At 41.3% G+C, this 17,250-nt stretch overlaps 1 protein-coding gene across 38 annotated transcripts in view, besides 1 other annotated feature; it reads right to left on the bottom strand.

The window, feature by feature from the left end:
- SORBS2 (sorbin and SH3 domain containing 2) overlaps positions 1-17,250 on the bottom strand; it is a 370,850-nt gene that overhangs the window by 124,605 nt on the left and 228,995 nt on the right. The gene's annotated exons all lie outside the window — the stretch shown is intronic.
- Positions 1,990-2,525: an enhancer, noted in NCBI's record as "H3K4me1 hESC enhancer chr4:186633271-186633806 (GRCh37/hg19 assembly coordinates)". NCBI's record gives its function as "activates a minimal SCP1, AML or CMV promoter by ChIP-STARR-seq in naive H9 embryonic stem cells {active_cell/tissue: H9 hESC(naive)}" and the evidence as "EXISTENCE:reporter gene assay evidence [ECO:0000049][PMID:30033119]".

Below are 17,250 nucleotides of genomic sequence, written 5' to 3' on the forward strand. Positions count from 1 at the left end.
CCCAGTAATATTTCAGCTTGCTTTCACTCGATGTTAATCCAACACCTATAACTCTTTTCCCCAAGACTGAAGATCCCCAGTAATATTTCAGCTTTGCTTTCACTCAGTGTTCCCTGACTCAGAGATCTCAAACCCTAAGGGAGAGGCAGAGTGTCCTTCAGTCTTGACGCCTGGGAGCTGTGGATGCCTCATTGTTGCTCGTCTTGCGACATAAAATAACAGCATGCTAGTGGCCAAAAGGCATGAAGTGTTCAAACTTATTCAAAGTTCAAAGTGTTCAAACCTTTTATGTACATGATTCTTTAAAACGAGGGAAAAGGGAATTGCTCTGTTCTCAATCGACTGTGTCTGAGTTCTTAGGATTTATATTAGATCCACACTCCCCCCCAAATTTTGAAGATGGAATGAATGTGTTTTCTCCTATATTTACCACTCAAGTTTTTTCTTTCCTACATGCTGACTGTTTGTGTTATGGTCATTAGATTCTAGTACTGAAGGGGTTTTGGTTTTTGCCTTTGTTCTCTGTGTGAGCTATGCAGTGGCTTTTGTGCTGAAGGAGGGAGCTCCCGTCTCATCAGTTTCAGAACTTGAGTGATGGATTCGTCGTGGCTGCTGATGGTAACGGTGGGCACTGGCCAGCCTGTTGCTCATGCAGCGTGGGAGGTGAGCGGGCACAGTGCCCGTGGAGAGGTGGTGCTGCCTGATGAGCTTAGGGAAACCCGGTAAACACCGATGTGCTCTCCCAGATGCAAACTGAGTCACATCCCTGTCAGGAAACTGCAAATAAATCGTGTGCAAAACGGAACAAGGATCCTATTAATTAATTTGGGATAACTTTATTTTATTTTTTATTTTTTTTAGAGACAGGGTCTCTCTCCATTGCCCAGGCTGGAGTGCCGTGGTGTGATTATGGCTCACTGCAGCCTTGACTGCCTGGATTCAAGGGACCCTCCCACCTCAGCCTCTTGAGTAGCTGGGAGTACAGATATACACCATCACACTCAGCAAATCTTTTCATTTTTTTTTTGTAGAGCTGGGGTCTTGCCTTGTTGCCTGGGCTGGTCTTGAACTCCTGGCCTCCCATCTCAGCCTCTCCCATCTCATCCTCCCATCTCAGCCTCTCAAAGTGCTGGGATGACAGGCATGAGCCACTATGCCTGGCCCTGACATGAGACTCTTAACCAGGCCATTTTACAACCAATTTCATGCATTCTACAATTAAACAAGATAGTAATTGTGTAACAGATCTAGACAACTTTTTCATACAGATATTTATTTTCCCAAGTTCAACTAGGGCTAGAGCGGTTTGTAGAAATGTATAGGTCTAACCAATGCTTCAGTTCACATGGTCTCTTGCTGTACAGCAACAGCCAGGTGAGTTCTAAGTGTCAAAGTGCCCACAAAAACTGCAGTGTAAGTGAAGCTAATCTTTGGTGTCTAACATATTTTTACTGTGTATTCACTTCCCTTCATCTTTTTGCATTATTTTCTGTCTCAAAGCAATCTGTTCTACATCCTTCCCCATCCAAATTCCCAACATATGTTGGGGTTTAGGCAATAATATTTGAGGCAATCGTAGAGGAATGTCCAAATGTGTTTGAATGAGGGGCTGTTTAACCTCATGTAGAGCTATTTGAAGATTCAGAAATGTACTTCTGAAGCCCGGGTCTGTCTTTAAAAGGCCAGACTTGGTATATCAGCACCTATTCAGCACACGCACAAGCTGCCCAACACCACACTCAGCTGACCGTGCTCCCCGCCACCTATCCTCTCCACTGATGGAGTTTCATTTTTCTATCAAGAGCATCACCATTTTGCTTGTCCAGCCCCAAAACACTGACATCATATTTGACTCATAACTCCTCCTACTATCCTCATGTTGGAGCAGATCCTACTGATATGAACAGAAGCCAGAGAAATTCTAGGCAGAAAAGGGTGATTCCCCAGCAAAACCCCACCCTCAAGCTGAAAAGCCTGAAACCATGGCCCAAAGTGAGAACTTGTATCCCTCTTTACCCGCTAAAATGTTGCCTTTCCTAAACTACCTATAACCATGCCCCACCCCATCCTGTGCCCATAAAAACCCCAGACTTAGCTGGTAGGTGGGACTACAGATGAATGTCAGAGAGAAGCAGCTTGACTTTGGAGGGACAGCTTGACGGCGTAACTTCGGAGAAGAATCCAGCCAGAGACAGCTGGATTCAAGGGGAAGACTACCTACCTGCCCATCCCCTGTTCAGCTCCCCTTCCCACTGAGAGCCACTTTATCGGCAATAAAATCCCCCACATTTATCATCCTTCAATTTGTTTGTGCAACCTCATTTTTCCTGGATGCCAGGCAAGAGCTCAGAAGCCACCAGTGCAAATATAAAAGGCTGTCACACTGGCCTTTGCCCTCGCTGGCGGGGGTAGCTGCCTCATGCGAAAAGGCAGAGGGCCCACTAAGCTGTTAACACTTAAGCCGCCCGTGGACAGCAGAGCTAGAACAGCACTGCAACACGCCCTCTGGGGCTTTGGGAGTCACAGGCACCCCCACCTGGATGCTCGAACGGGGACTGCATGGAGTTCGCTCCTGCCAGTGCCAAAGCGGCCAGCGGGTTCCAGCGCTCATGCACGCCAGCTTCCACTCTGCTTGCTGGTGCACTCCCTCCTGTGAGGAGTTGAGAGGGGCAGGCTGAGTAAATGAGGCACCCCCCTCGCAAGTGCCGTGAAGGGGTCAGGGGAATATCCTGCATCGCTACTGTCTCTTTAAAATCTCTCCAGAACCTGCACACCTCTCATCACCACCTTCTGTTTACCACCTAACACCTTAGTCTAGCTTTCCAGTAACCTTATGGTTTTTCTCCCTTCCTCCATTGACATCACCTGCGTTCCACTGTTCCCAAAGTATCCAGAGTGATGCTCAAACATCTGAGAGACATCAGGCATTCTCCTATTCAAAGCCCTCCAGTCACCTCCCATCTCCCCTCCTTTGCTGGCCGGCAGCATCCTCTGTGTCCTGGGCCCTCACTGCACCTCTAGCTCATGGCTACCACTCTTCCTCTTTGTCCTCCAGCCTCTAATGAGGCTGGCTACCTCGTTAAGCCTTGGACACTCCAAGCCCACACTGTCCTCTCCCTGGAGCCCCAGGTCTCTCCTTGAGTTCTTCAGATTTATGCTCCAGCACCTCTGTATCAGAGACCTTTCCTAACTGCCCCATATAAAATGCAGTCCTCCATGTTTCCTTTGTCTTTTAAAAGTTTTTCTGCAGAACACTTCTTATCACCTCTCATCTTACGTGTTTGCTTTTTATCTCTTTCCCACCACAAGGATTAGCTCAGAAGAGCAGAGACTTTCATCAGGAGAACGTGATTCAGAGGCAGGAAATTTAATCATGGGGTGGAACCTATAAGGACGTTCAGTCCACGTACTGGCATCGTGTGGCTCTACACAGGGTAGTTAGGGGAAGGGATGAGTATTACAAGTTGCTGAAAACAATATATACTTTTTTCCTTTAGCAAATGCAAAGAGGTAGTCAGCTTCACCACTTAGGCAAATGCAGAAATATTGCTGCTGTGGAAAAGGGTGCAAGAGAAAGTCAGAGTGAAACAAATCGGTGCTTTATAATTTAGTGAGTAGAATCTGTAATCATTACTATAATTTAATCATTACTATCATTTAGTTTCCCACTGTCATGATATTGCAGCCTGGTACACATTAATATTGCCATATGTTCATACTGCACACCATTATTTGCCTTTGTCGTTTTGTGTGAAACTAGACAAACATCACAATCTGACTTTGGACTCTGACCATTAGCATTGATTTCAAACAGTGCTGAGGCAATTCTGTGAAATATGGAATCACCACCACTACACAGGATCTTAAACTTCAATTCTAGAAATGGGATGGAACAGCTACCCACCTATCCTTAAGTATAATGAAAAAATTACTTTCCTGGTGATAACATAACCTTCATTATTTAAGTGGATATATGGTTGATTTTCTATCTTACATTTAATTTCCTTGGGTTTTGTTAAAATTATGAATGATGAGGCATTGCTTTATCAAAATAATACATTTGCATTTTAACAGATTTTCTTCCATTCTTTCTAAAGGAGTATCTCAAATAATGGGAGGAGTCAGCAGGCTAGAGTGTAGGATATTTTGCAGCAGTGTCTTGCTTTCAGCTTCACGTCATCCCATTGCTCCCTCAGCCAGCCTCTGACCCTACACTTGGTCTATACCAGGTTTATATACTGAGTTTCATGGATACACTTAGGTGGCATTAAGTAGAATAATGGCAGATGTAATGTTTATATAACTTCACTTAAATTTAGTTTAGGCTTTTTTTTTTCACCTCATCAACACAGAAAACCTATAACCTAAAATTTGTGCAGAAATGTGTTTCACAACAGCAATTAGGTATACAGGTGTATTAATCTGTTCTCGCACTGCTAATAAAGACATACCTGAGACTGGGTAATTTATAAAGGAAAGAGGTTTAATGGACTCACAGCTCCACATGGCTGGGGAGGCCTCACCGTCATGGCAGAAGGCAAAGGAGGAGCAAAGTCATGTCTTCCATGGTGGCAGACAAGAGAGCATGTGCAGGGGAACTCTCCTTTATAAAACCGTCAGATCTCGTAGATGTATTCACTACCACGAGAACAGCTTGAGGGAAACCACCCCCATGATCCAATTATCTCCACCTGGCCCCACCCTTGACACATGGGGATTATTACAATTCAAGGTGAGATTTGGGTGGGGCCACAGAGCCAAACCATATCAACAGGCATGCTACCTAAACCTCTCAAATCATTTAAAAGTTTCACTTATCTTCAGAACACATGAGTCTATAAAGAAATAAGCAACTGTGTTTTGGGTTATAAGTTAAAGGCTTGTAAATCATTAAAAAGAAGACCACTTTACCATGGCATTTTTCACGACAGATTTTTTAAAAATATCAACATTTTCTCATTAATCTCCATGAATTTGTTTGCAAAGAATAAATTTACTTAATCATTAGCTTTATTCTGCTTTTGGATAGCATGACTAAATAAGTTGCCTAAACTGAAAGAGTGATGTTAAGACTAAAAGTAGAAGTTATCAGTATTTATGCTGATGTAACAGGCATAAAATGGGATTATGCCAGGCAATAAGGCGAAAAAGAGATGATGTAACAAAATTCCTTCTATTTTGATATTAATTTAGTCTCCAGCAATTTATAGCTTTTCTCTCCAAGAAACACCACTCCTGTACCCCAAGGAGATAGTAAAGTTGAGAAAAGCCCTATGAAAAGGCCAAAGGAACAGACACGAAATAAAAAATAAAATAAATATTTAGTTTAAAAAATAAAAAGAAATAATTTAACCTAGAATAATTAAGACTAAAGAAACATGAGACTGAAAATTTAAAATCAGAAAAAAACTGGTAAAGTTAACTCTATTTTTCCCTAAGCCCTAACTTACCAGGATTAAAAGACACTCCATTATATTTCAAAATTGTTTTTGATAGAAATAGATTAAAAAGTACTTTATGTAGCGAGTAGAACATTTCTGGAACTCAACAACTTGAAATACAACAGACCAAAAATGTAGACAGAATCTAAATCCTTTAGAAATATGCAGGAGTGACAGCTCCATCCATGTTTTCCTCCCTCGACTACAAGTGGCTTAAAGACAGAGGTCATAAAAAAAGAGTGAAAACTACTAAATGCTCAATAGATAAATAATAAATCTTAAGTGCTTAATAAATGTTGCTGGAATGTGTAACAGAATATTCTGAAAGGAAGGCTATTCTTAACAGTCATGCCCACTGTGCCATGTCCTACAATGTGACTGCTGGAGAGAGATTAGAAGTAACATCTTTTTCTATGGCAAGCCACACAGTCAGAGACCTAAGAGAAAGTAGTCCTCTTCCTCTTCTAATAAATAGAAATAGACAGTTCCTATATCATCAGAGGATTTCATAGAAAAAGTATTTCATAACGAAGGCTTATGATCCTGATTATGGGCTACTTTTAAGAACTGTGGCATCACCTGCTGCTCAACTCCCAGACAGAGATGGGCGTGGTCTCCCGTAACACCTGCTGCTGGGGCAGGCTGGCGAGGTAGTCAAGAGTGTAGATGCTGGAGCCAAGCCAGCTTTGTGAAAAGCCCATTCTACCATATCCAGATGGATCACTTCAGAAAGTGACTTATCCTCTCTCTGAACCTGCCCACATTTCCTCCTCTAGAAACAGGGATAACAACGGTGCCAACCTCCTGGGGTGGCTGAAGGACCCAGTGGATGCGTATACACGAAGCACTTAGAAGTGAGTCTGGCAGGTACTGCCAAAAATGTGACTCCTGCTGCTATTAAACAGGGGATGTTGCCTTGGCACCGACAGGTGTGACTAGCGGTTGAAATATTTCAGATACGGGGCCCCTTCTTGCCTTGGTCCCTCATTCAAATGAATTCACGAATCAGGTTTTCTCTTGTATAAATGAGTTTTTTTTAAGGGCGTCTACTAAATCTTGGTTTGAAGGATGAATTCTTCTGGGCTCACATTTGCTTCTTTACTCCACAGATGGTGGAGTAAAATCTGTGTTCATTGCACCTTCCGCTGGTGCTTTAGGCTCCAGGAGCAGCAGCTCCCTGGATTGAGTGGGAGCCAGTTCTGCCTGACTGGTCTCACCAGCACACCAGACTGCGCAGGCGGGTCAGAGGCCCACGGGGAGGAAACATCAGTGGAGGGAGGATGCTGTGAGCGGTCCACCCCTGCATGACAGATGTCCCTTTACAGAAAAGAAGTGGGAAACAGACTTTGGCAAAGGGAAACGGCAGAGTAGCAAGATGATTTTGATTACTAGTGACATTTAATTGCAATTAGATTTTTAACCACAACCAAGAAGATGATAAAGCTTTTCCATGTATTTTCCATAAAACTGTCCGAGCTTAGGACACTTTAGTGCTCATTCTTCCTGCAACACTACCCACCACAGGTTCACTGTATTGGAAGTATACTGAGAAGAGCTCGTGGCTGGCGTGGGAGCGCCGCTGTCTTCAAACCTGGAAGTGAAGTGCACCCACACCCAGCCACAGCAGTGATTCCCCGGGAGCGACCTTCAGGGAGTTGCTAGGAGATGGCCGCTCTGTGTTTCCTTTGATTATAGGGCATAACCCTGCCACTGTCAAAATGCCAGAAGAAAAGGGCAGTGATTGCTGGACATAATTTTTTTCTGTTACTTCCTGTGAGATATTGTTTTGCACAAAGGGAGGAGACTAAGGGAGCCATGGATATCTCTGTAGCAGAAACATGGCAACTATTATCTGAGGAAGGCCGACATCCTCCAATAGCGATCCTGTGTGCAACGCGTATTATTTGCTTCTTCAAATTGAGTCGTATCTTTCAGTAATTTCTTAAGACGCTAGACGGTATTACACATAGGCATGGGGGGTGGCTTGTGGTTTAAAAGCAGGGCTTACACATATAGGTAGAAGCCGCATGTGGTCAAAGGAGATAAAGTACCACAAACTGAGGAGTGTAGTTAGCTGGGCGCCCTGGATTGAGGTAAAGTAGAAAAAGACTGTGATACTTCTGAGCCCAAGACATTTCACTCTGCCACACTATCTCCTGTATATGCAGTTATTAGATAGACAATTCTTTTTCCGTGACAGCCAATATCAGGTAGGGCTTAAAAGTCACAATCTGGGTTTACAACACAACTCTTCTGCTTATTAGCCGCATGACCTGGGGTGAGTTACTTTCTCTCTCTGTGCCTTGGTTTCTACAACTATAAAACCGAAATACGTTACAGTAAGCACTTGATAGGATCACCGTGAGAATGGAATGAAATCATATATGTATGGCCGGGCGCAGTGGCTCACGCCTGCAACCCCGACACTTTGGGAGGTGGACCACTTGAGGTCAGGAGTTCCAGAACAGCCTGGCCAACATGGTGCAACCCCATCTCTACTACAAATACAAAAATTAGCTGGGTGTGGTGGCGGGCGCCTATAATCCCAGCTACTCGGGAGGCTGAGGCAGGAGAATCGCTTGAGCCTGGGAGACAGGCGCTGTAGGAAGCCAAGATCGCGCCATTGCACTTCAGCCTGGGTGTCAGAGTGTCTGTCTCAAAGAAAAAAAAAAAGAAAATATGTAATATACTTAGAAAAATAGCTGGCGCAGAACAAATGATTACAGAAATATGAGCTATCATTTTCATTATTATTATTAGCATCATAAACATTATTTCGTTGTGCTCTGAATGCAGCTGAACAGTACTCAAGAGTTTCAGGATCAGTTGTATAAAATTACAAAAAATTAGAAGGTCACCCATCTTGAGAAAAGACAAGTTTGTATAAACAGGACAAACTACTGAAAGCAGGAGAGTTCAAGGAAGCCAAGAGAAGCTGAGAAAGTTTTCTTAAATCTGCTGTCTTGTTGGTTGCTGATCACCACCTCATTCTCCATGATAGGTGCACAGTTGGCGTACAGGTTACCTAGGGCTGGATACTGATTGAGCATATCCTGTGCACAAGGACACCTATGTTTATTCCACTTAGAAGTCTGAGGTTGTTCTGAATGTCAAGCAACAAAACAATGCACTTCTTTGGGAGAGCTGGGGCATTCCAGATTCTGGTCATTAACTGGGTGAGTGTCTTTAGGCATCATTCCACCTTTGTGGACTTCTGCTCCCTCGTTTGCAAAGTGAGAGAGTCAGACACTCAGGTTATGTTCCCTTAATCTCCACCTTTAAAAAAAATAATGTTCTGATCTACCTTCATAAGAGCAGTTGTGTGCCTTAATTTTCTTTGCAGGTTTGCTCTATGCAGACCTGTCATGTGGAAACTCAGAGTTATAAATTAGAAACAGGTAAATGATTTATTTTTGCCCTGCAAATGAGTCACACTCTCTACAAGTGGATTATTAAATTCCATTAAATAACAAGCTTGCCCAATAATTCTAAAATAGAATCTGGTTTTAAAAAAAAATCGGTGTACCTGTTCTCTGTTGTATAAAGAAAGGTATGTGATAGCATCGTTAAAGTATATGTTTTAGAAACTACTCTGGCAAATAATTTTCTTAGAGAGAGGTTACCGAGAAAAGAGAAAAGAAAAATTTAGTTTTTCTGGCTTGGAGAAGCAGCAAGTAAAAGTCACAGCTCTGGAACCAAAGCAAGAAAGCTCCTTGAAGAATGAGGTAATCAGACTTGCCGGTAGGTACTCTCAAACCAGCGTGAACTGTACACTGCAATTAATTATTAAATGTGCTCAGGCTAGGTCAGGCTATACTAACAGAATTCAGACACGTTTTTCTCTCCAGCATTTGGTTATCAGTTTTGTGACATATAGAGTAACAGTTATAAGGATCAGTTTCTGCAACTCCATCCCTCAACCTACTTTTTTATTGTAAATAGACTGAATGTGGGGAAAAGGCAAAGAGAAAAAGTGCTATGCTTCAAGAACATTTGTCTTGATATTTTGGTGGCAAGCATCATCAAACTAACTATATTTGGCTCTGACTAGCTTAGCATGAGATGTTAGTTTTTAGCCGCAAATGAGTAGCACTTGACAAGGTGAGAAATCTTCCTTCAATTGTTGAAATCATCCAAGACGTGTTTCTAATCTACATTTTGAAAACAAAAGCCCTAGCATAATGCAATAGGAATTCTTCTTGCCTGTATAACTGGATTCTGCTCTAGGGTCTTGTGGGATGGTTATTACACATGGCAGAGAAAGCTACGTGTCCTCTTGCACCCAGTCCCTCTTCTTAATTTATAACGGAAGTTTCAGCTGAACACATGGCTTTAGCCAGGCTAAGATTACATTTTTCAGTTTCCCTTGTTTTATCACCAAATTTTGACCAGTGGGTGTGAGAGGAAATGCTGTGTGCATCTTCCAAGAGGCTGTGGCCTTAAAGGCAAGAGGTGCCCTCTTTGCTTTTCCCTTTCCTGCTGGCTGGAACGCAGAACTGATGTCAGGAGCTGGGGCAGCCCTCTTGACCACCAAGGGAAGCCATGTTTAGCGCTGAGAAAGACAGAGCAATAAATGGAAGGAGCCCAGGTTCCCAGAATTGTGAAGCCTCCGTACTAGCCTTGCACCACCAATCTGTACTTTTACATGAGTGAGCAATACACATCTTTTATGTTTAACCTCTGTTAATTTGAATCTCTGTAACGGCAGCTGAGGTTTTATCGCAATAAATGTATTCCCACAGTCAGAATCCAGACAATTTCAATAGTTCCATTTTATATTTATGTATAATCATAAGAAGAAAGTCCCCAATTTTACATTAAACTCTGTATTCCTTCTAACTGTCTTGGGTTGAGTGACACGGCGGCTATTGAACGTATTTCTGTGGCACTGTAACCCAGTAGATCACACCCATGCAATTGCTTTCTCTTCCTTAGGCCCAGGTCACTTCACCTGCACCTCTTTAAAGACTGTATTTCCTTTCTGTGTCCCTCCCTCCCTCTCTCCCTTTCTTCCTTCCTTCCATGTATCTAAGAGATTGGCCTGGGCCTCCGGTACCCAGGTGCTCTGCCTTGTGACTCCATCTTATGTGAAAACTGTGCCAGGTGCTAGAAAACAGTTTGCAAATTATATTTTGGTTTGGAGACCTTGAGGATGCATTTACTGAATTTTTTGACTGGTATTTACATGATCATCTCAAAGAATGAATTGCAGTTTTTTCACAGTGGAGGTACTGATAATTCACCCCTTGAAATGAGGCCGTGTGGGATGAGCAACCTTGAACCAGGACCTTAAAAGCTTAGATTCCAGCCACGGCTCCGACACAAAGTGACAGCCGCGTGACCGTAGGCCCATCGCTCTGTCTCCCTGGGCCTCAATCTTCTCACCCTTGCATTGGGAATGATACTAAAGTTCCTCATCCACCTGCCTCATGGGATTGCTCAGAGGATAGTGTGAGACAATCTACCACAAAGTACAACTGTGAGCCACTTCCTAACTCCTGCTTTCCCACCTATTCTTTTTTTTTTTTTTTTTTTTTTGAGACAGAATCTCACTCTGTCGCCCTGGCTGTGATCTGGCTCACTGCAACCTCTGCCTCTCGGGTTCAAGTGATTCTCCTGCCTCAGCCTCCTGAGTAGTTGGGATTATAGGTGCCTGCCACCACGCCCAGATAATTTTTGTATTTTTAGTAGAAACGGGGTTTTGCCATGTTGGCCAGGCTGGTCTCAAACTCCTGACCTTGGGTGATCCGCCTGCCTTGGCCTCCCAAAGTGCTAGGATTACAGGCGTGAGCCAGCATACCCGGTCCCCACCTACTCTTTAACTATGACAGATGTGAACGTTTGATCTCTTTGCAGACAAGATCAGCACGGTGACTGGGTCTTTGCCCTACCTTCCTAAGCAAATGACAGAACTGGTAGCAGAACTGGAGCCCCTGAAGCTTCTGCAGGCAAACTTCCTGGAGCAGCCCAAGAAAGTCAGAGCCCCTCCTTTTCGTCACATTCAGTTGGAATTTTGGAAACCAAGCATAATGGAGAAATAACTTTTTTGGTATAGCCGGAAGATGAACCCTTGGGCACAGTTTCAAAGTCAAATATTTTACTGTAAAGTGGAAGAAGAAAATACCCAGATCTTTCTGCATAGTCAAGTGGCTTATGTTTTGCACGCATTGGAAAGAAGGGAAAACAAAAGCTGTCTTAGAAGACGAAATCAATCACATGAGGAGTGGCACTGCTCCAGAGAGCTGAGGTCTTCCTCTTAGGAATTACAGACTTTGGTTCCGTATAATTAGGCCCTGTGTTGCTCAACTTCCAAATAATTTAGAGAGAATTATCATGTGAGAGTGCACATATATACATTTTTTTCCAAAACAACCTTCTCAATATGTAGCAAAATGTAGTCAAGGAAGAAAAAAAATGAGAAGTTCTTTAGATTTCAGCCAAAACAATCACTTAAGCTCCAAGTCACTATATAAACACCATTAATACCTGTTAAAAGGTCGTGAATTCTGTAAGAGATGTTTGGAACAAACAGTGCTTCAGAACTACCCACAAAAATAAACAAAAAAGAGATCATATTATGTCACTGGGTCCAGACAGGATGATGAAACGGCTATGATCACGTATAAGCTTTATCTATCTTTCCAGAGAACAGTGTCAGGGACATATGGGTTACTTTCCAAATTTTGTTTAAAAAATATGAAAAACATCTGTGAAATTCTGGTAAGACAAAAAGAGTTTCTAATTCTTTGGATCGCAAAATGATTCTTCAGTTCTAATTAGCTATGATAAATTATGTTAATTCTAAATTATTATCATTCATGTGGGCATTTAATTTAAAAAGTGGCATTATTTGGAAAACAGTCTCTGCAATTTATTCTAATGTAGTTTAACACGAAGCAGCTACATTGCCTTTTTGGATATTTTCAGAAGTGTGAAAACTGTGAATATCACTTCAGGCTTTGCAGAATGGTACTCTACAATGAATCTGTGTCTGGCATCTGATTGGTGATAAAAAAAATTATTGGGAATAGATTATTAGTTATTCTGAGACAGAATTTTGAGAAACTTGTTGAAAGAGTCTTGTTTGAAGAGCCCATAAGGAACCTCCTCCTTCACACCCATACTCTGGCTAAGAATGTTGACTCTTTTTTCTTAATTAAAGGCTGAATCACTGATAATATTGTTGATATTAAGTGCCTACTAACCAGCAGCATGAGCTTTTAACACTTTTAATGTCACCCAAAAGCCTACCCAAAGTGCCCAGGAAAATAAACAGTTTTCTAAGATTCAGTATAATTTTATTTTGTTTTGTAGCTAAAATGCGCCAGAGCTGTATTCATGTCATCACAGTGGGAAGAAGGCAAACATCTGAGAAATTAATAAATCCCACAGCCGATCTGAGCTGTCACCCAACCCCAAAGGGCCTCAGTATCTGCATCTGTATATGGGGATAACTCAGTTCTCCAGAGTTTGTAACAGGCCTAGCACAGTGCCTGCACATGTAAGAGCTCAGAAAGTTATTTGTAAATTAGTAAATTAATTTATAAAATTGTAATAAATCAATAACCATTAAAAAAAAATAAAATAAAATAAATCCCACAGCCACTAAAAGCATATCGTATTTGGGGCACAACTCTGGCCATAGAGGCAAGCACCTGACATAACACAGATGGCTTCTTGCTGGTAGCATGGTGGCAACTTCGCTGAAAACACAGAGACAAGGACTGTTTCACTCTGTCTCCCTTAAGAACTTTGAAAACAGTTTTATGTCTTTGGAGAAGGAGCACCAATTTAGCTTGCATCATGGATCATATAGAACAGGGTATGTTTTAATGTGCTAAAACCTAAGCAATGTATTTAACAGAGCAATCTATTTCCATGAGGTTCGTGAGAAAATAATTCAGAGGCTCTAAGGGAAGTTGGGAGAAGAAAGGACAGCCCGTACCAGTGCACTCAAATAGCCAGAAAGAGCAGAGATGCTGATTGCTCCAAGCAGTAGTCTGAGTCTTATTCTATTCATTTCCTTAGAGTAATTTCCAGTATTTGTTAAGGCATACAGAATTTGGGGGCTTGAGGTAGGGAGTGTGTCTTATCCATGCTTGGAAATGTAACAGCTTTTGAAGTTTTGTAATGTTTCTTTTTTAAAGCAGGCATCTTTCTAGTTCCACTATCTCTGTGGAGTTGAGGAAAGAAAGTAATTCATAGACACAGGGCAGCACGCTGACCTTTCTTCAGTGAACGTCAAGGTCCTGGGCTCATAAGGGAATAAGGAAGAGGAACCTCAGTATATTAATCCATGGGCTCCAGCCACGTGGCAGCTACATATTTTCAATCACTTTGCTTACTTCAAACTTTTCTTGGTGTGCCATGTACATTAAGAACAGATAACTAAGAAGCAACCCTTCTCAGTGTTTTTGGCATCTACTGATCAGCACCTGACATTCCAAGTTATTTCCTCCTCTACTCGGCATGCCGATTTCTGTACTGTTGAACAGCAGGAAGTGCTTTCAAGGGTCTAATAAATTAGCCTTTCGTTGTTTCAACTTCCAAGTGAAGTTAACAATAAAAGAAGCTTAGTATGAAAAAGATCCAGGGTTTCTTAACCTACCTCTTGTTTCTTATTTTCTTTCAGTATTGGCTTTTTTTTGATGATGTTTGGGTGTTTGGGGAGTGGAAACACCATAAATTTGATCTTAAGCTGTGCTGGGACAACTTTTGCATGTTTTTATTGAATACTTGGGATATTCCACTGCCCAGAGAGTTAAAAAAAAAAAAAGACAAAAGGATGAGCAGCTAGTTAATAGTCTTCATAGCCACCAGTTATCCTTTAATCTAGTATTTTCTAGAGTGCTGTGATATTTGCAGAATTAACCCACAAAACAGTATCCTATGGGCCAACCGGTGATGAGACTGAGTTTGCCTTTGAGAACTCCGGTGGGTGTTCTAACCTAACTTTCCTACCTCTCTTCACTGTCATTTATATTGTTGCCTGAGGACTCTTCCTAATACCTAGCCAAAGTATGGGGGGCCTCTGCTGTCTGAGAGGTCAACTTCTAACAATTTAGTGTGACCTCAAGGCCACCCCATGACCTGACTCCATTCTCCTTTTTCACTCTCGTCTTCGGCCACCTCTCTCAATTTGCCAGACTATCTGCTCTCCCTGGAATCCACCATGGACGCTCATGCTGTTTCCCGAATCTGGATGTAGAATTTCCCTGACCTTTTTATTTACAAAATTCTACCCATCTTTCAAGATTTTCCTTTTCCTGAGTTGATTATTCTTTGTTTCTGTGTTCTCAAAACACTTTCCTTGAGCAATGCTAAATACTAGTTTCCTTCACGTCTGTTTCTCTCACCGCAGCATCTGTGAGATTAAGGATAGTGTCTTTTTCACCATTTATCTCTCACTGCTCCTAGTTCAGCACCTTGCATATCTTTCATGCTCAGTGTACTTAAAAACAAAAGAATCATACATAAGACGGTGTTGCCAGTTTATCATTTAATGAAGAGGCTTTTTTCTTTTATCAATTATGGTAAATCTTTGACTAGTTCAAAAAGGGATTTAGGCAGATCTATTTTTGAGCATTTCTCCTGTTAATATTTATATTGAACTTCAGCCTTTTGGGGTCAACAGCTAGAAACCATCACAGCCTGCTATAATCCATTAGTTACAAAAGGATGGAAATTATCCTGCAAAAAGCGCCAGGCTGCAGAGGTTCTTGTTTGGAATTATTACACTGCTGTTGGATATTCTAACTACCCACTTGTGTTCAAAGGAGAAGCGGCATTTGAGAAAGCTTCTAAATGTGGGTTCTGCCACCTACCATGTAGAACTCTATGCCAGTGGGTCAAACATACTTGCCGTCTAATTTAGCATCCCAATATAGATTCTAGCAGAGCTTCTTTGACATAGCTAATCTCTCTGAGTTTCAATTTCCTCACCTATAAACTTGGGAGTAACGACTTTGTGTGGCAAGAACCCCAAGTAATTAATCAAAATTCTAACTTTGTGCTTGGACATAGGGATTGATCATAAATGTGGGCTATTATTGTCTTGATCTTTGTTTTTGCTGTTGTTCATATAGTACTTATTAATATGGCTTCTAATTTCAGGTTTGTCATTTCTGTCGTTTTAATTTTATTTTATCAAATAAATTATCATAATAATCTTTTCATTGGCTCTCCTGTCCCTAGTTCTCCCCCTAATATTGATCTCTCTCCTTTTAATTCCAAGCTGCAATTGCAAGGCTAATATTTTGAAAGGAACACTGACTTCACATTATCTATTAATAAATTCTAAACCAAGCCCAACACAACATGATCCTAACCTAATTTTCAAGAATTTATTTTCCTTCTCAGTTTTTTTTTGTTTTTTAGTCAAACTGAACTTTTTGTTGCTCCTTTTTTTGTACATTTCATGTTTTAGCCTTCATTTGAGTTTAATTAGCACATTTTAACCAGATGCCTACATTGTGTCAGATATTTTCTGGGTAGTAGGAGTGTCAGGATAATCCAAAAGAATCCCTGCCTTCCAGGAGCCCATGACTGGTGTGGCGAGGCAGGTGTGATTTTGATTCATCTTTTGTGAGATGTTTTATTCGTTGAGATTACCTCTAATTACTCTTAAAATTACACACAGTTTTAGAAGTCCATCTCAAAATAGTCCCCTATGAAAACCACATAAATCCCTCTCACTCATTTAAACTAATATAGTTCCTTTTCTGTGCCACTTCATCTTGTCTTACTTTATGTTATTTATGTTGGTGTTTTCTTGAGGGCAGGGATCATGCTTTATTCACATCTGTGTCTTTCATCGTACCTTATGTATAACAGGCTTGCAATAAATATGGGTTAAATATCAAAGGAATGTAATAGTACAATTTGACTTTAAATAGAATAATAACCAAAGTTTTCAGGGACCATTTTTCAAAAGACCCATTCCCCCAAGATACTTAACCTACAATGCTTACTTTGTATAAGCTCTGTTACTTAAGCTAACAAACAATAGTTCTGGAAACCTCATATACAGAAACATAAGGATATTTAGATGTATAATATATTATATATATAATATATTTTGTTACACCACTAGACTTGGCTTGAATGAACCAGAATATTGCTTGCTTATTTCCTTGATGTTCTTTTCTTACACGGTTTGTTCTACAAATGTATAAATATTAATATATTAGAAAGTTATAGAAACAGATGAAGGAAAAATAGACACAAATATAGTATGGAAGCCTGGACATAAACCAGGGATTTCAGAAATAGAAGCTATGGAGATGCATCCGGGAGGAGGGTCTGTTTTAGCACATTTGGGCATGCATCTTTAAATAGGAGACACATTTCTGGAAGGAACATAGGGTCCTGTGGGTAAAGTATTGGGTTGCCTTGTTTTATATTTACTTGAGGCTATTACAGAGAATCAACTACAGTGTAAAGGGAGAGCAAAACCAAGCGAGTTTGGATTTAGGGACATTAAGTACGCTTTGAACAGATCAGAAGCCCTGGACAGACGCCACCACAAAAGCAGCAGCATCTGGAAGTACACGTGCTCATCTCTTTGTATTGCTTGGTGTGATTTCCATGGCTACTAAACGAGTCATTCACTTCAACCTACATTGATGTGATCAAAATAGTTTCATCAGAGCAAATTCTCATCCCCTCTGAAGAGTGGACAGATTCTTAAGGATTGTCCACGTTTGTATTAACGACCCTATTGCTTATGCCGTCACAATTACAGCTAACCAGATAGGTGCAGTCAATGGATTTTGTCAATGATTTACCTTCAAAGTAACAATACTCACAT

The sequence above is a fragment of the Homo sapiens genome, chromosome 4, assembly GCF_000001405.40.
Source record: "Homo sapiens chromosome 4, GRCh38.p14 Primary Assembly".
Taxonomy (NCBI): Eukaryota; Metazoa; Chordata; class Mammalia; order Primates; family Hominidae; genus Homo; species Homo sapiens.